Source organism: Homo sapiens, chromosome 4 (assembly GCF_000001405.40).
Source record: "Homo sapiens chromosome 4, GRCh38.p14 Primary Assembly".
Taxonomy (NCBI): Eukaryota; Metazoa; Chordata; class Mammalia; order Primates; family Hominidae; genus Homo; species Homo sapiens.
The window spans coordinates 85641528-85660783 of NC_000004.12; the positions used below are offsets into that span (position 1 = coordinate 85641528).

A 19256-nucleotide genomic window follows, 5' to 3' on the forward strand; every position below is an offset into this window, starting at 1 on the left:
TCCGGGTCTTCATATTGTTTTCTCTCTGAGTCTGTGTCCAGATTTCCTCTAGAATCATCCTGGATTAGGGCCTACCTTAACCACCTTGCAATACCTCAATCCATTGGTTTCAAGCTGGGGTTCCCCCAAATCTCTCTTTGGATTTGATTAATTTGCTAAACCATCTAGGAGAACTCAGAGAAGCATGTTTACTGGTTTATTAGAAAGAATATTAGAAAGGATACAGATAAAGACATGCATAGGGTGAGGTATGGGGGAAAGGGTATGAAGCTTCCACACCCTTCCTGGCACACTCCACCCTCCAGGAGCCTCCATGTGTTCAGCTATCCAGAAGCTGTAAGAATCCTGTCCTCTTGGGCCTTTTATGGAGACTTCATTAGAGAGGCATGATTGATAACCATGTAGAAATTTGATTGGACAAGAAGGGCGTGATCTAATACTAATAGACTGACTGGGAAAACCCAGCAAGGCCTGTCCATTCAATGTCTTCTTGATCTCTCTGTGCAGCATTCCTTCATCATAGGTGTGGGGCAGGACCCTTTCTGAAATGGGAGTCTTGTGACCTACAATCAGACAAGGCAGGCTGTAAAATTTCTTTACAGCCAGCTCCCAAGACAGAAAAACAGGGGAAGACTCCAGCCTTGGAAAGAAAAAGAGCAGGTTAAAGGTGGACGGGAGAAGTTTAGAAAGAGACAGATTCTGTTTTCCAAGGCCTGTTTTTAAGGCCTAAAATGCCTCAACATCATAACAAGGGCCATAGAATCATGGATGAAAACCAATAGGCAGATACATAAATATATATATTATAATCTCACACACCTGAATGTAAATTTCCAGTCCATCCCTTACTCCTAGACTTCTAGACTTGTTCAACTTCTTTCAATAGTCTACTAAGCGACTAATATATGTCTCAAACTCAGCATGCTCCAAACTTCCTCTCACCCCAAACCTGCTTCATCCGTAGGTTTCCTCATCTTTTTAAATGCAGTTTCATCTTTCTTAGTTTATTCAGACCAAAAACTTGAGAGTCACGCTTGACTCTTCTTTCTCTCACAATAGCTCACATTCATTTGAATAAAATAAAAACCTTGCAGGCTCCACTTTCAAAATATATCCAAAACTTTAACATTTCTTACACTTCTACTGCTACCACCCTTGAGAGTGTCTGAGCCACTATCATTTCTTACCTAGATTACTTCAAAAGTCCTTTGCTTATTTCCCTGCTTCTGTTCTTGTCTCACAAAAGTCCATTTTTAACATAATGGACAGAGTGATTCTTGTAAAACTTGTCAGATCATGTCACTGCTTTGCTGAGAACCCTGCAATAGTCCCGTCGTTCTCAGAACAGAAGCTATAAAGTCCCTGCAGTGGCCTTCAAGGCACTTCACTTTCTGGCTCCAGGTATCTCTCTGACTGTGGCTCCTGTGTCTCCGCCCCTTGATCACTCTCCTCAGCCGTGTATCAAAACCCCAGTCATAATCCCACTTGGGGACTTTGCAGTAGTTCTCATCTTCCTCAAGCCTTTCCTCTAGGTGACTCCAAGGTTAACCTTTTTCCTTCATTTCATCTTTGTGCACATGTTACTTTCTTAAGGAAAGTGACATGTATCGGGATCTCACCACTAAAATTGCAAACTGGACTCTCCTCCATCTTCAAATACCCCTTAACCTGGTTCTACTTTTCTTTTTTATTTTCCGTTTTTTTGTGTTTTTTTTTTTTTTTTTTTTTTTTTTTTTTTTTTTGAGACGGAGTCTCGCTCTGTCGCCCAGGCTGGACTGCGGACTGCAGTGGCGCAATCTCGGCTCACTGCAAGCTCCGCTTCCCGGGTTCACGCCATTCTCCTGCCTCAGCCTCCCCAGTAGCTGGGACTACAGGCGCCCGCCACCGCGCCCGGCTAATTTTTTGTATTTTTAGTAGAGACGGGGTTTCACCTTGTTAGCCAGGATGGTCTCGATCTCCTGACCTCATGATCCACCCGCCTCGGCCTCCCAAAGTGCTGGGATTACAGGCGTGAGCCACCGCGCCCGGCCTTTTTTTGTGTTTTGTTCATACTACTTATCACCTTCTAGCATACTATAAAATTCACTTTTATTATGCTTATTATTTACTATTTCTCCCACGGGGGAATAAAATAAAACACTTTGGATGTGTTTTTTTTTCCACTCAGGGGAGTGCAAGTTTACAAGAACAGAGATCTTTGTTTTATTCCCCAAAAGAGTATCTTTTGATATTGGTTTTCAGCAAAAATTTGCTGAAGGAATAAAGTGAATGAATCAATCAGTGAGAACTCTCATTGTTATTTGTAGGGGCATATGCAAAGTGTCACTGAAAGCTGTGTGTTTGAGTCTCCCAAGTAAGTCCAGGAAAGATTAGCCTGAAGTCTGATTTAATTATCTTTAATTGTGTTATTATTAGGTGTCTTAGATTGGAAGACAGTCTGAGTGAAAGATGATGCCTTTGACTTCATTTTTGGTGAAGAGTTTAGTCTTTTAAAACTACATGCAATAATATAGTATGATTTTGAGCAAGGGCTCTGGAGCCATTGTTCTTGGGTCAAAAAGAGATCAGTTTCTTACTACTTATGTGAAGGGCAAGTGACTTAAACTTTGCTGTTTCAGATTTCTCAACTATAAAACGCTGAAACTAAGAGTACTTACCCGACATATTACTGTGAAGAAGAAATGAGCAAAGAGCTTAGAACAGAGCTTGGCACATAAGAACTGCTTGATAATGATCAGATGTTAGCATGATTAGTACTTGGAGGGAGGCAGCTTTGTTTCATGAAAAGAACATCACATTGGTTTTAAGACTGAGATCTAAGTCTGTCTTTATTACTAATTAGTTGCATGGAATTGAGCAAGTCATTTAATGACTCTGCTTTTATTAGAAAACAAAAGAGTAATACCATATTACATCTAAGACCTCTTCTTGCTCTAAAAGCCTGTAATCCTCTTATAATGATGATGATTGCATATTTCTTTATAGGGTCATTTATCAAATACATATGTAATTTCTATAGAAAATTTATTCTTAAGATAGAGATAACTAAACTGATGGAATATATCATGTTAATCTTTATTTGATATTAAAATAATTGTTAAGATTACAAGGATAAGATGGAGCTTCAAGAAATACTAATTAATGATAATGACATGTATGTATGGCATCTCATAAATGAACAGTGTACGCTTTTAAATAATATATACAAATACTTATTCTTGCCATTTTGTAGTTAACTTTTCTGAACTGTTTCAAGAAATAGGGTAGTCCTTTGTGTAGTATTCATTTTAATTATATGACAATTATATATAGATGTTGCAAGATCTGGTAAAATCTCATTAAATTGTCATAGTTCAGTCTGACAGATATGTGCTTCTAAACTATAGATGATGGCAAGAGAAATGAGTAACTCATTTTCTACACTTTTTGTAAAGACTGGGCTTCATGATGATAGTCGTGAACGTGCTCTGTTACTTTAAAAAATTGACTATTAGAAGCAAAAGAGTAGCCTAGATAATAAAATTACATTTCAACATTTTCTCTCGGATAAATTCTGGTTATAATCAGTGGACATCTGTTCATTTTTAAACTTTAATGTTTGTTTACTTTGAGTTTGTAGCTTAAGATAAAAATTCCAGACAGTTTAATAACAAAGAGTAAGTTTGTCATTTAAAACAAATGCCTTAATCAAAATTTCCATATAACAAAGTTATTTTCACGCTCTGGTTATTGGCACATTTAATTCAAACACTATTTCATAGAGTAAATTTTCAGGATAAATTGAACTTAATCATGGTGGTTTGGTAATGGAATTCGGTCCTAGATCTCTTTTCTTTTCTTTAGGCTCTGATTTTTTAAAAATCTTGATTGGATGCATTAAAAATCAGAGAATCTGCATGATAATCAAGAGGAACAGCAGAGAACAGTTCTTGGTTAGAAAGAAACTGTACCATAGGTAGAAAAATATGAAGAGATATCTTTGTACTAGGTTATCCTCTCTGAGCATGAATATAGTATTTGTGTAAGGTAAAACTGACTTTTTAAAATGAGGTGCATATGCTGCATGGCACTGGGAAATGGACATCAAACCTGCGTGTCCATCTTGTGCTGAATGTCCTTGCTTAGTAAATTTCATTTTAACCGTAAAAAGAAGCACATATTGGAAGGAAAACTGACTTCCAATAAGCATTTCTCATAAAAATGTTTTTCTATAGTGTGCATTTAGAGAACTTCCAGAAGACACTGATAATCCAGCTGAGAGCTTATGAAAAATATATATATGATAGCTTTTAAATGGTTTTCCAATTACCAGCCTAATTCTATGGTGATTTCAAAACATACCATGAATCAATATTACAGAATAATGTCTTAATGTTTGATTGTTGATACAATATGTATCAAATCATAGATGTTAGTTCTATCTCATTATACAAATATTTTCAAAGACTTCCATTTAGGTTATACAAAGCCCTTAAGTGTGAAAAATGACATACTGCAATTATCTATCTTTTGTTGAAAATTTAACTACAAAATAACAAGAGTAAGTGTTTGTATATGTTATTTAAAAGCTTACATTGTCTGTGAGATGCCATGCACATATGTCATTATCATTGATTAGTATTTCTTGAAGCTCCATATCATCCTGTAGCCTCAACAATTATTTTAACATCAAATAAAGATTAATAATAAATTATAGTAATTTAGTCATCTCTAATTTACCCAGAGAATACATTTCCCATAGAAATTATATATGCATTTGATAAATGACCTGTTAAAGAAATATGCCATCATCATCATTATAAAGGAATTACAGGCTTTTAGACTAAAAAAAGGTGTTAAATGTAATGTGGTATTACTCTTTGGTTTTCAAATAGAAACAATTAATTAAATGACTTTCTCAACCCCGTTGCATCTAATTAGTTCAATTTCCCATTCTTTTTGGTAATACAAATTTGGAAGAAGTCTATACTATTATTTTCTACATTAGTTCAACTTAGAGCCACAATCTATATTCCTCTTTAGTTCAAAAGTCATTTTTCAAAGATGCACTATCTTAGGATTAAATTGTATTCATAGACCCTCATTGAATAAATTATATCCAATTAACTATATTTATTTAACAGTTTATGATTTTTAAATATCATGACTTTTTAAAATCTCTAATTTATTTGCCTTCTACATGTACTAGGTTAGTTTCTGCAAAAATATAAGGGAACTAAGTATTGTGATCTGGCCATAGTGCTGTTCAGAGGCTAGTTGGGAAATTGAGGGTGCTTGCTATATTTTTGAAAGTGTACTCCTTAATATGTGGTTTGATTTTAATTCAACCAACATTTGTTCAGAATATACTATTAGTAAAGCCTTGTATTCACATTTATGTGATATGTAATCATGAAAAAGACATTGACTCTGCCATATACATATTCATAACTTAGAAGAGGAGATAAACATGAAAATCTGGTAAGTCAAGCAACTAAGTTGAGAATATAAGGATAGTAGAGATTAATTCTAGTTGGAATTGAGGAATTGGGAAGAAACCATGTGATAGTAGGATAAAAGCTAAGAGCTTAAATTTGGAGGACATTTTCTAGTAGCTGAAATGGGGAGACATGCAATGTAGTTAGGCCCAAGGTTGGTTTGCATGGGAAGAAATTGGATTTGATTATAATTATTATTATTAGTAGTAGTAGTAGACATCGTCATAGTTGTAGTCATAGTTGTATTTTATGAAGGGTATTTGCATAATTCTATAATTAATTATTGAGATGCATTTTGTGAAAACAAAGAGAATTAAATCATAGCAAAATGGGAAAAATTATCTAACATTCCTCTGCCTTTCCTTTTGGTGTCCTTTGGCTTGGTTTGGTGTCCTGAGACATTTGCCTGTGGTGATCTACCTCCATGGTCACCATGCTGTAGTAATAAGTGTGCAAGTTTGAAAATCAGATGACCTGGCCTGGAGTCCTGACTCTACCCCTCACAAGTGAGTGATGTTGAATAAGTTAGCCTAACACTTACTTGTTACCTCATTATTTTCACATATAAAATCAATAGGAAATTATACTCACCTCAAAGAATAAATTACAATAATGAATGTAGAATTGAATTTTCATCTTAACAACTCTACAGTAGTTGATCAGGAGAGTGCTGTCCCCTATGGCAGTGGTGCTGGCATGATAATGAAGCACTGAGTACTCAAATGTCAAACATCAGTGGTCTTTGCTAGAACATCATCTTCTTAGTGAACATTATAAGACCAGTCTTTTAAAAATTGGAACCGTCTCCCTGTAACCATACCCTATGTCCATTTTTGCTTTATTTTTATCCATGGAACTTATTGCCATCTGTTGTACTAAACATTTTACTTATTCATTTTGTGTCTGTTTTCCCCAACTAGAATGTAAGCTTTATGTGGGAAGGTATTTTTTTTCTAGAGTCATTGCTGTACCAGCAATCCTTAGAAAAATGGTTGCCATTGTTTGAAAAATTTTTATTGAAGAAGTGCATAAATGCGTCTAAGTAAGTCAGCTAATAAAGTCAGATAAATACAGTTCATGCTGACTTATTCACACCTGTTGTAGGAAATGTGTACGCACTTACAGATTATCTGCAGAACCAAAACCTTGACTCAATTATCTAAATGTGGAAACTCCTGATCCTACGCCAGATCGGAGGGGGAGCTAGGTAGTTTTCCTCAGTTATATCTTACAGAAGTCCTGCCAAGATCTCCTGAGATGAGGTACCTTTTTCTCTTTGCTACTCTAACATCTTACTGAATAATGCGTATTATTGTTAGATACTCAATTATAGCTATGACAATTAGTTTAATATATTTTGCACTGAGTTTGAGATACACAGGCACATCAGTTACTTAAAACTAGTTTGAAAACAAATCAAAAGATTTACAGAGATAAAAAGAATTGTGGTGCATGTTCATTGAGAATACAGATGACAGGGATATTTACATATATATTATACACTGGAGTTTTGGAAACAGATACATGAGCTTCACCCCACCCAGCACCCATGACAGAACAGACGACTCTAAAGCAATCAAGTCAAAGATGTAATATTGCCATTTATCATCACAAATCATAAACCAAATATGTCATACAAGTGGAAACTGTTATTTCCTCTGAGTTTTTAATAGGAAGATTTCAGTCAGGAGATAGCTTGTGATTTATGTCGAATAAAATAAAAAATGTCTCCGTTTGTAAAATTTCTGCTGGTCTATTATCTTTTAATTGTTTCAAAAAATAGCTTTATTTTTCTTTCTGGAAATGTGGTTACACTCCCTTGCCTACTGGAACTTCATTATTATGTCCTTGGGGAGCTTCCACTCCTAGTTAAATATCCTAAAATAGAACATTTAAAAAACTTGCATTTAACAACATTGCCAACAGAAATTAACTTTCTGAAAAGGAGTATAGAACTGTGTCACATATGTGCATTCAGAACTTTGGGTTAAATTGCATTTGTAAATATGTGTGTGTGTGTGTGTGTGTGTGTTTGTGTGTGTGTGCTTATATTCTATTTCTGAGAGCAAAATGCTACAAATGGCTACAAATGAACTAAGTGTTCGGCTGATATCTTGGAAAGGCCTTTCTGTGTGATGCACTTTAATTTCACAGTATTTACCAAACATTTAATCTGTGACTGGCATTCTGCATACAGAACAATTCCCCAGCCACAGAATGGCTTCAGTTCAGTAGCGATTCTCTATTCTTGACTGTCTCATTTAGCATGTCTTAATCAGCATATTAAATCAGGCATTGTGTTTTTAAAGACACTATTCTATTTAATATTTGTAACAGTCCTGTGGGGATTTTTATATCCATCTTAGTGCTGAGGAAACAATGTCAGCGGTGTTCAATATTTAAATGAAATTCTCACAGCTGTAAATGGCACAAACAGAACTCAAACCCAGGCATTCTTACTTACTCCCCTACACCACAGCCCCCTTCATTAACGGCTTGATATTCTTCTTTGCATTTAATGTATTATAAAGTATTTGTTTGCCACTGGATAAACAGATTGATTTAATTCCCCATTAGAAAGTCCTTGACTCATTTAATGGTCTGTCAGTATGCCCGATCCATAGAGTTGGCTGTTGAGATTTATTCTCAAAATTTGTTGTCTTCTAACTGTGAAACTAGACCAGTCCAATAAAACCAAAACAAATTTCATGATGGAGTCTTCATCTTTCTTCATTCATTCACATTCACTGGAGAAGCAATAAAATAACTGTGGACTATATCCTGGCACTGTGTGATGTCCTGCATATATTCAGTAGCTGCAACATTGTTATTTAATAATGATCTTGTATTTTTTGATATTCATTAGGCTTCATAATGCCTTTAATTATTGGACATTATTTTCCTCTTTTTACAGGTGAGAAAATTATTGAGGCTTAGAGATATCAAGGTAGTCATAAGGTCATACGGGTAGCAATGGAGAAATAAGGACAAAAGCCTAGACTTTCTGCATCCAAATCCTGAATTCTTTGCACTACACCAACTCCTCTGTTTCTGACTTAAATGAAGTACATTATACTTTTCCAATATACGGTGTAAATTTAAGAAGTACATGGTCGCTCCATAAATGCTATCCAGCATTGATTTGAGAATTATCTAGCATGTGTTCCTTTCAAATGTTGTGCCATGAAAGATGTTATTACCAGTGAAGCAAAAGTTATCATAGATTTTAGAAGTGAGAAGCCAGGTCTTGGGCAAAACTTTAGAAAAAAAGTCCAACAATTTTTCACAAAATTATCCAAAGACAAGATTATTGCTTGAAGTGAATTATTATCAACTATTTCATTCTTTCAATATTCAATGTGTATGTAACATTGTTGTAAACAGAAGACTGCTTGGGTTTCAGCCCTAGGTTTATCACTAACCCAATGACCTTGGCCAATAATCTTGTCTGAGCTTCTAGTTTTCTTTAATCTGTAAAATGAGGATAATGAAAATACCTGTCTTATTGTTGATGTGTCTAATCATATCACTTAATGAGTTACTATGCATCAAATACTTAGAACAGTTCTTGTTTCCTGTAGTAAGCCCTATATAAGCACTTGCTATTATTATATTTGAATAATACAATAATTATTATTAATACTATGTAGAATGCAATTTGTGAATATAACAATGAATAAGCAGTAGTCCCTATACTCTATATATTTACAGGCTAGCTAAGGAGGTAAGCTATGTGTCAGAGAAGACTACAGGAAGGATATAGGATTCAAACTGAATATGAGTACTGAGAACATTAAGGGAACCTGTGAAAGTATTGATCCTAAAGGAGGTCATTTCTGCTAACAGACATATATATTCCTAGGTAAGCCTCTTTATTCAAGTGCAAATTGGGCATTGGCAATTAGCCTTGAAGCAATGAATTGCCTTTGAAAATCTGCAAAAGAAATATAAAGTCCCAGGATAACCTAGTTCTTCGGACAGAGTTTAGATTGGGTGACTATGGACAACCTGAAGGATAAGCAGAAGTTGGCCTTGAAGAAAGGTCTGCATGGGAAAAATATTCCAGGTGGAAGCAGCAGCGTATGCAAAGGCCTGAGGTGAAAACAAGTTCGGTGAAGTTGGAGCTTAGTAAACAGGACGGGGGAGAGGCAGGAGAGGAGAACAGAGGCAGGCCTGAGATCATGTAGGGGCTTGTATGTCTCTGCAAGAAGTTTGGGTATGCTCTAAATGTAATGGAAAGATATTAAAGAGTTTTAAGCAAACAAGTGGCTTGATGTTGTGTAGCATAGATTTGGGGGTGTTGTAGGGAAAAGATCGATAAGGAGACTAATTCATCAGTCCAGGGATGGAAAATGTGAATAGATTTATGAATTATTTTTGTAGTAGGAATGGCAGAACCTATTGATGGTTTAGATTGGAGATGGGACGTGAAGGACACACAGGGATTAGAGAAACTCCTAGGTTTTTCCCAAGTTTTTCCTTTGCTGTACCTCCTAAGTGGAAAATTCATTCCATTTGAAATTCAGTTTACTTTTTAATAATTATAAATATAATATTTAATAATTTTAAAGGTAATTTTTAAAAGTTCCTCATAATTACTAGTGTTTTATTATTAATACTCACTTTTAGTCTTTACCCAAACTGTGAACATAGTAACACATTGAGTTTTTCCTCTTTTTGTCTAATAATAGGTCATAAGTGCTCTTAAATTATTTGCATCCGTATAATTTTATAATTTGTTGACTGTCTGCATCTGTATTCCTTCAAGGCCATATATTTAATTAAATTAATGATTTCCTCTTATTAGATATGTCATTAAGATTAATGAAAAAGTATCATTTTCTAAAGTGAGTGATTTTATTTAAATGGTTTTTATCTTTCAGAATTAGATAAAATAAGAACAGATGGGCTTAGAAGTATAAAAATTATTCAAAAATTTTTGATAGCGAACAATTTAAAGTCTTTCTCAGAAAATTCATTTCTTAGCACAGCTTATATTTTGATAATTTTAAAATAGTGATGAAAATGGTCTATTGTTTTGTTTGCCTACTTCAACACACATATTTTAGTGTTATAGCAAAGCAAGACTTTATGCTGCATGCTTACAATACAAAATATTGATGCCAAATATTCATATTAGAGATTTTTAAAGTTCTCTACATTTATTTCACATTTAATAATAAGATAATGGGTGATCAGATGATTTTGACTTCTTTATTTTGTGATACCACTAGTGAAATGTCACTTCAGCAAAAGTGATAATGATTTTCATAAAGAATATGTTAGTGATTAGGAATATTTCTACTACCGTATTGTCTCACAATATTACTTTACTGACTCCGTCTATGAAATGGAGTATAATTCAGAAGATGAAATTCTCTTTGTTAACGAAATTTCCATGAGAAGTCAATCCATCATTAGAGTATAAGTTAGGGCTTTCAAGATAATTAAGATTAGCATTGACAGTTTATGTGTGACTTGTGCCTAGAGTTTTGACCCAGACAAACATTTTTAAAAGGTTAGCAAAATTGACTTGTTCTCATATCTGCAGTATTTAATAATGAAAATGGAGAAATTTTAAGCTTTGTATTAAGAAGTGCCTGAATCATTCTAGAGCCAGTTCTTATAGACATGAGAGATAATTTTCCTTTCCTCTAATCAATGATATAATACAAGTAAAAGAGAAGAGTGGAAATAGGATGCACAAATTTTTGAGGGATGCAGAAACTGTGGATTAGGGGGTGGCAAGTTGGGGTGGTATGTGGTGTGCTTCCATGGCAGAGGCAATTGTTACACTAGCAGCCAGTCTGTCTAGGCTGGTTGGGTAAAGAAGAAACTTTCCAAAATCCAAATATTTATGTGATTATTGTGACAAAAGATTTTCTGAGTTTTTTGTTTGTTTGTTTTAGAGTTGGGCATAATGGTTTTCTTTCTTGCTACTTTTTGTTTCAGTGTTGACTTTCCTTGAATTTGTATTTTTCTTCAATATGTTAAGAACTCTTGAGGCATATTAATATGTATTAGTAAATGTATGTTAATAAAATGCTTTCTTTTCTTAGAAAATTCATATTGATGAACCTAGACTTTCAAGACATGGCTAAATTATGTCCAAAACAAGGTACAGTCAGATACAATTTTAAACCATAAATGATAATATACAATGAAAAATAACTATGATCTTGGGGATCTTCTATTACACAAAAACTGAATAAAACCAGAATATATCATTGTTCTAGCTGGCGAGGTTATTTTATATTTTCTGAATATGAGTAATGTTAGAGTCATTGGAAAACTTTCCAGATTAATTTCTGGTAATTTGGTAAAAGGGCCTAAAGAAGTCTTCATTGTATTATGTAGTAGAGAAAAAGCGAACCATGATGAAAATAGCATAAGTAAATTGCAGATGCTCTAGATTTGCACTGTCCAGTATATCATTTACCAAATGTGATTATTTTAATGTAAATTATTTAATTAATTTATTTATTTTGAGGAGGAGGCTCACTTTGTCACCCAGGCTGGAGTGCAGTGTAGCGATCTCAGCTGTCTGCAATCTCTGCCTCCCAGATTCAAGCGGTTCTCCTTTCTCAGCCTCCTGAGTAGCTGGGATTACAGGTGCCTGTCACTATCCCCACCTAATTTTTGTATTTTGTTTTTGTTTTTAGCAGCGAGGGGGTTTCACCATGTTGGCCAGGCTGGCCTCCAACTCCTTACCTCAAGTGATCCACCCACCTCAGCCTCCCAAAGTGCTGGAATTACAATTATAAATTAATTTAAATTAAGAATTCAGTTCTCCAGTTACACTAGCCACATTTCAGATGCTCAATATGTTGAATAGCCACATGTGCCCAGTGACTAATATACTGGGCAGCACAAATTAAAGAATATTTCCATCATGGAAGAATGTTCTATTGAACTCTGCTGCTCTAAATATACCATGTACTACATGGCCTCTGATTCCTTATATTATTAATAATTATTATTATAATTATAATAGAGGTAGATGTAGCATTTTTGGTACTAGAGTATGTATTACAAAAATACACTAGTCATTTAAACACATTGTATTAGTCTCCTATAACTGCCATTACAAAATGCTACAGGCTGGGTGGTTTAAGCAACAGAAATTTATTTCTCATAGTTCTGGATGCTGGAAGTTGAAAATCAAGGTGCTGGCAGAGTTGGGTTCCCCTGAGGCCTCTTTCCTTGGCTTGCAGATGGCTGCCTTCTCACTGTGTCCTCACCTGGCCTTTCCTCTGTGTGTACAGCCTGGCATCTCTCTCTTCTCTGAGGACCCAGTCCATTTGGATTTGGGTCCTACCCTTATGACTCTATGCAACCTTAAATACCTCCTTAAAGGTTCTATCTCCAAATATAGTCACATTGGGAGTTAAGGTTTCAACATGAATTTTGGGGGCAAACTTTAGTTCATAACACATACTTTTTATGAGTAGTCAGAAGAATCCTACAATGTAGGTTTTATACCCTATTTTACATATGAGAAATCCATGACCCCAATGAAAAGGTCAGTAGTTGTTAGAGATGAGATTCAAACCCAGGCCTCTCTCATGCTGCATACCATTACCTTTCTTATACACATACTTCTAATATACATGGATGCATGAATAAAAAAATATATTTTAATCTACATTTTGAAATTGAAAATCTGAGACTATTTATGTAACTGATAGAAGCCTGTATCCTACAGAACGGGAGTGGGATTGGGAAGCAATTGGCTACAGCTCCTTATCCTAGCTACTAACATTTTTACAAGTGAATATTGTTATATAGTCAGATTTATAACATTCATATTATATAACATGATATAAATGTGTACATGTGTATGTGTGTACTTTGTATGCTTCTTAGAAATAGTACTGGCAGACACAAGTTTTGGATATTAGAAAAATTTACATACACTATAACTCTTACAAAGTAAGTAGTGATTAAATTGAATATATACAGAATTAGCTACAGTTTTATAAGATATTCTGTTTTTAATTCTTTTCCTCCCTTATATTGGCATAAAAGAGTTTGTAAATTAAAATTCCTTAGAATATTTTTTGTATTTTAGATGTTTTTCACTAATGATGAAATATAGCTTATAGCTCTTTTTAGGCTTATTTGGGTATCTAATGTTTTTTGCTACAGCACAGTATTCCAACTGGATTACTTAGTCATGTTGCAAGAGCTAATTACATTTGGGAGCATAGGGTGATAAATGCCCTTAAAATTACATAATTGTTTTCCATGATATTTATCAGATACTCTGGAATCTGATAAACATTTAACTAGATGTATTATGCAATCATATTAATTTAGTACTATTATTGAACAATGTTCTTTAGGGACTTGCTACTGAAAAACAATTTTATACAAAAAGAGCTGAATAGGAATTTTAATTCTTATTCATTTAATATTTGGTTTAATAACTGCCAGAGAAAATACTTATGTAAAACTCTCAATCATGGACATCAAAGCTTTAAAATGAAAGTTTGGGGCCAGGCACGGTGGCCATGCCTGTAACCCCGGCACTTTGGGAAGCCAAGGCAGGTGGATCACTTGAGGCCAGGAGTTCGAGACCAGACTGGCCAACATGGTGAAACTCTGTCTCTACTAAAAATACAAAAATTAGCCAGTGTGATGGCACGTGCCTGCTACTCAGAAGGCTGAGGTGGGAGAATGGCTTGAACCCGGAATGCGGAGGTTGCAGTGAGCCGAGTTTGCACTACTACACTCCAGCCTGGGTGACAGAGTGAGACTCCATATATATATATATATATATATATATAGAGAGAGAGAGAGAGAGAGAGAGAAAGAGAGAGAGAGAGAGAGAGAGAGAGACAGAGAGGAAGTTTGGTTAGACTGTGCCTTGAAAGAGTAAGTATACTGTACACGTGAATAAAATATGTAAAGTTCTCTATGAGAATAAAATAAAGCAGTTTTATTCAGCAACTGATAAGTCACCTTTTTATTGGGTTGCTTCCAGTAGAATTAATATGCTATTTCCTTAACTGGCAAATAAATTAAACTTGCAAATTTCAATTTTAAAATTTGCCTACAGCTATTGCAACTTGCATGGCCACTTATAATCCTATATTCTTGGATCAAAGTATATTTTGTAAATTATTTACTTTTAGTAACAGAAGGTGGTAACCATAACACAGAACTATTTAATTTTCTTTAGAGACAATTCTGAAATGTATTTAAAAACACTGGCTTCTATAAAATGAAAAGATAAAACAATTTGTGGAACCACTGAATTTGAAATTAAAATTTGACAATGTAAATGACATTTTATGAAAGTGAGATTCGTATTTTACCAACATTAAGCTGAAACATTTCAGCTTAAAAGTATTTTGACACATGTAAGAGCAGAAAGATAAAGTAATATAATTTTAATTCTAATATGATAGGACTTTAGAATCAATTAGTGTATCTTATATGAGTGATTTAATAAAGCTTTGTTTGTTTGTTTGTGTTTTGAGACAGAGTCTCGCTCTGTCACCAGACTGGAGTGCAGTGGCGTGATCTTGGCTTACTGCAAACTTCGCCTCCTGAGTTCAAGCGATTCTCCTGCCTCAGTCTCCCAAGTAGCTGGGATTACAAGCGTGTGGCACCATGACCAGCTAATTTTTGTATTTTTAGTAGAGACAGGGTTTTACCATGTTGGCCAGGATGGTCTCGATCTCCTGACCTCGTGATCCACCCGCCTCAGCCTCCCAAAGTGCTGGGATTACAGGTGTGAGCCACCACGCCTGGCCAATAAAGCTTATTTTTAAGTAATCAGCTTTAAAAAAAAAATACAAGCATGATAATAATGATTTTTGGCCATATTTAACCATGGCTATCATATGGGTCACACTGTAGTGGCTTTACTAACAGTGTTGTTTAACTTCGCTCCTTTCAGAGTTCCTTGAAACTATTCTTGGCTGGAGTGTAAGCTGCTTTAAAAAAAATGTTTACAGCAAATTATGTAGAATAGTGAAAAATAGAGTCAAAATTAAAAAGTAAATAAATTATAAAAATGTAACATTGCAATGGTGTTTTGGAACAATTTTCTATTGACTGAAACAAGGAAATAATTTTTGTCTCGTTTTTATTTTATTCTCATTGTTTTCAGACATAAGAATTGATGGATTTTGTTTTCTCCTTAGCCTTATTTTATTTTTTCTGGGCTATAAATTTCTTCATCTCCCCAAGCCTTAACTTTTGTGGCTGTACAATTGGGAGAAGAATTTCTTGGAACTTATTAGAATTGTGTTTTAATAATGTGCTATCTGCCAAACACACTGAAACCTTTGGATGAAAGTTAATGTATTCTGAATGGTCTACTTTGTTCTTCCCTTTTAGTTTCATAACTAAAGTTTGAACCTTTAGTTTCATAACTTAAAGTTTCATAACTTTAAGAAGGATTTTTTTTCAAATACAAGAGAAAAATTTTCTTCCTCTTTTAACCTGTCTCAGAACTTGTGAGCTGAAATTAACAGAAAATCTTTAATATCTAGCCAGCAATGACACTTGACTGTGTTTCTAAAGGAATAGAGAGGGAAAATGGTCAAAACAGAGTAGTTTCTAGAAAACTTCGTGTCAGCTTGCTCTCCCATGGAGACAGGGTATTAGGCAAATTAATAACTTTATCCTCCAGGCACTTTTGCAAGGGAATAACATTTTCATTTGTTTGGCAAAATGCAAACATTGCCGGGGTAGATGATAACTACAAAATAAAAATTTTATGAAATGCCACAACTCCAATTATTGTTATTATTTTGAGACAGGGTCTCATTCTGTCAGCCAGGCTGGAGTGCAGCGGCACTATCTCAGCTCACTGCAAACTCTGCCTCCCGGGTTCAAGTGATTCTTTCACCTCAGCCTCCCGAATAGCTGGGGCCACAGGTGCGTGCCACCATGCCTAGCTAATTTTTGTATTTTTAGTGGAGATGAAGTTTTGCCATGTTGGCCAGGCTGGTCTCAAATTCCTGGCCTCAAGTGATCTGCCCCCCTCGGCTTCCCAAGATGCTGGGATTACAGGAGTCAGCCATTGTGCCCGGCCTCCAGTTATTTAATTATTCTTCATTTACAATTGCATTCTCATTGGTCAATTTGTTAAGACCTTTTTTTCAGTCTGACAAAAGAAGGAACAAACTCTTTTTCTCTCCATTAATGTTGAATAAAGTATCTATAAACTACATTTTCAATAATTAGAAGAGCTAAAATCATCACATTTGGGACCCTGGGATCTGCCTTCCCACTTCATTTTTTCTCTGTAATCAATGCAAAATTATTCAATTTAAAGGAATATGTAGCGGATCATTTTTGGAAATTTATTACTTTAGACCCTGAGACAAACCTTTTTTCATAAAAACCAATTAAAAGAGCTTCTCAGAATTTTTTTTAACCTTTTGCTTAAAAAATTGCTCTAGTAAAAAGTGCTATTTTTAACCTGTTGTTTGTGGTACAAAGTAGAAATATTTTCATAAATATTATTTGATCTCCAGCTTCTTATACTGAAATTCTGCTCTGACTGTAGGATCAAGTACACAGTAAGCACTCAATAAATACTTGCTTTGCTTTGATCATCTGAATGTAAAAGTATCTTTTATGTGGGGCTGAATTAGGTCTAGCCAACATTTAGACTAATTTTACCACGACTGTCTTCATAGTAATATTAGCGTGTTTTCACACAGTATAGTCATGAATATGGACCATGGGGAATCACTCAAGCCATTTTTTCTCACTTTTAGAGTAGTTTATAATGTGTTGATAGTATGTCTGGCTGGTTTGTTGGGAATAGGATGTACATGGCCAAATGTGGAAGCAAGGAGACAGGATAGGGGTCCTTGGAGTAATCCAGAATTTGAATCAAGCAGCTTGGGTCAAGGTGAGAGCAGCAGAGGTATAAGAAGTTCTTGTATTTTCAGTCTGTTCTGAAGCAGAGCTGATAGGATTTGCTGAGAGATTTATGTGGGATGTGACAGAGAGAGAGCCAAGTCCGTAGTAACTCTGAGACAGTGCCTCTTAACTGAAGGTGATTTTTCTCTCCCAGGAATATTTGACAACGTCTGGAGACAGTGTCTGGCTTGTCACAGTTGGGGAAGATACCACAGATATCTCGTGGGTAGAAGCCGGGGTGCAGTTAAATATCCTATGAAGCATATAATGCTGTTCTCTACAACAAAGAATTGTCTGACGTTGCTGAAGTTAAGAAACTCTGGACCAAGGTTTTTGGCCTGAACAGAGGAAAGAATGATGCTACCAGTAACAGAATGAGGGCGCTGCTAGTGCAGTATAGTTTGCAAAAAGGAAACCAGAGTTCTGTCTTTTTGAAGTGCCTATCAGATTTTCAAGGCCAATGTCAAATATTACAATATCATAAAGTAAAAATAAGATTAAAGTTTATCTGTTGTTAAATTAATGTTTAAATAATTCCTTTAGAAATTAAATTTCTATAAAATGGAAATTGTGTCTCAAAATATTCCTGTGTTATCTACAAGGCCTAACATAGCTTCTGGTATTTCAACATATATAAAAAAGTATGAATATAGCGGCCATATTAATGTTCTCCTCCCTAGTTCTATTACACTATTTGGAATGATATAATTTTAGTCTTAGAAATAGAAAATTATCTCCCTTCATTTTGATGAACACATTATATAATTAAAGTACACATAAGGGTTGTAATTACTATGTTTCCTAATATATTATAGTTCTTTCATCTCCTCAGTCTGCTTTTTGTGAAGAGGACTTTTTCAGGGTAGAAGAATGACTCAGTAATGAGAAAAAGGGGAAATTATGTTAAGTCTTTCTTCTTTTCATTCCTCCCCTATTCTGGATCCAGGGGTAGTACCACACACTTCCCCAAGCAGCATTTCTGATAACTTAGAATATCCTTATGAAGCCATCTCTAAAAAAATAATAGGTTTCTTTCCATTCGTTCTCTGAAATAGCCTCCTTTAAGTCTAGAGTGCCTGCAGCTGAACAAGCAGCTACCAGTGCAGTAGGACTTGTTGCTAGGGGGAGTTGCCCTTATCACTTCTCATCTAAACTCGGTGGGTTATGTGGAAAAAACGGCATGTGCTTAACTTCAGATTTTAAAGTCTTTTAACTTTGCAGTTGAGTGCCTTCAATTGAATTTCTTAATTAACTTTTAAGTTATGACTGTCTCTTATTCCCTCCTTACCTATATTGAAGGAGCCAATCAGTAAATACCTAAGTCCTGCCTGCCCGCCGTGAAGCAAGGAAAATGTACTTGCTAATGATTGAATTAATTCTCACACTTTAGTTAATATTGACCAATATTTCTTGGATTTTATTTCCAAAATGACTTTCTTTTTTTCTTGAAATACTGTTTTAAAAGTAGCTTTAAAATGTATCCTCCATGTAAGTATAACAAAACAGAGTGATTTATTCACAGCTACTTGTTTCAATAATGCAGATGTTCAGGGCTACAGTACTCAAATAGTGAGACTCAGGGAAGGGAGAGGAATTGGCTGAATTAATTTAAAAGAAAATCTGGCCGAGCACTGTGGATCACACCTGTAATCCCAGCACTTTGGGAGGCTGAGGCAGGTGGATCACGAGGTCAGGAGTTTGAGACCATCCTGGACAACATGGTGAAAGCCCATCTCTACTAAAAATGCAGAAATTAGCTGGGCATGGTGGCACATGCCTGTAATCCCAGCTACTCAGGAGGCTGAGGCAGGAGAATCCCTTGACCCAGGGAGTAGGAGGTTGCAGTGAGCTGAGATCGCGCCACAGCACTCTAGCCTGGTGACAGAGAGA

At 35.2% G+C, this 19256-nt stretch overlaps 1 protein-coding gene and 1 long non-coding RNA gene across 3 annotated transcripts in view; both read left to right on the forward strand.

The window, feature by feature from the left end:
- Nucleotides 1-19256, forward strand: part of ARHGAP24 (Rho GTPase activating protein 24) — a 527517-nt gene that overhangs the window by 166378 nt on the left and 341883 nt on the right. The gene's annotated exons all lie outside the window — the stretch shown is intronic.
- On the forward strand, nucleotides 1978-17934 carry LOC105377319 (uncharacterized). 2 transcript variants are annotated; one of them, XR_007058168.1, is made up of 4 exons: nucleotides 1978-5983; nucleotides 11537-11595; nucleotides 16973-17017; nucleotides 17521-17934. It is a non-coding gene; the product is annotated as an uncharacterized LOC105377319 (long non-coding RNA). The 2 variants fall into 2 exon arrangements; XR_938955.4 differs by lacking the exon at nucleotides 16973-17017.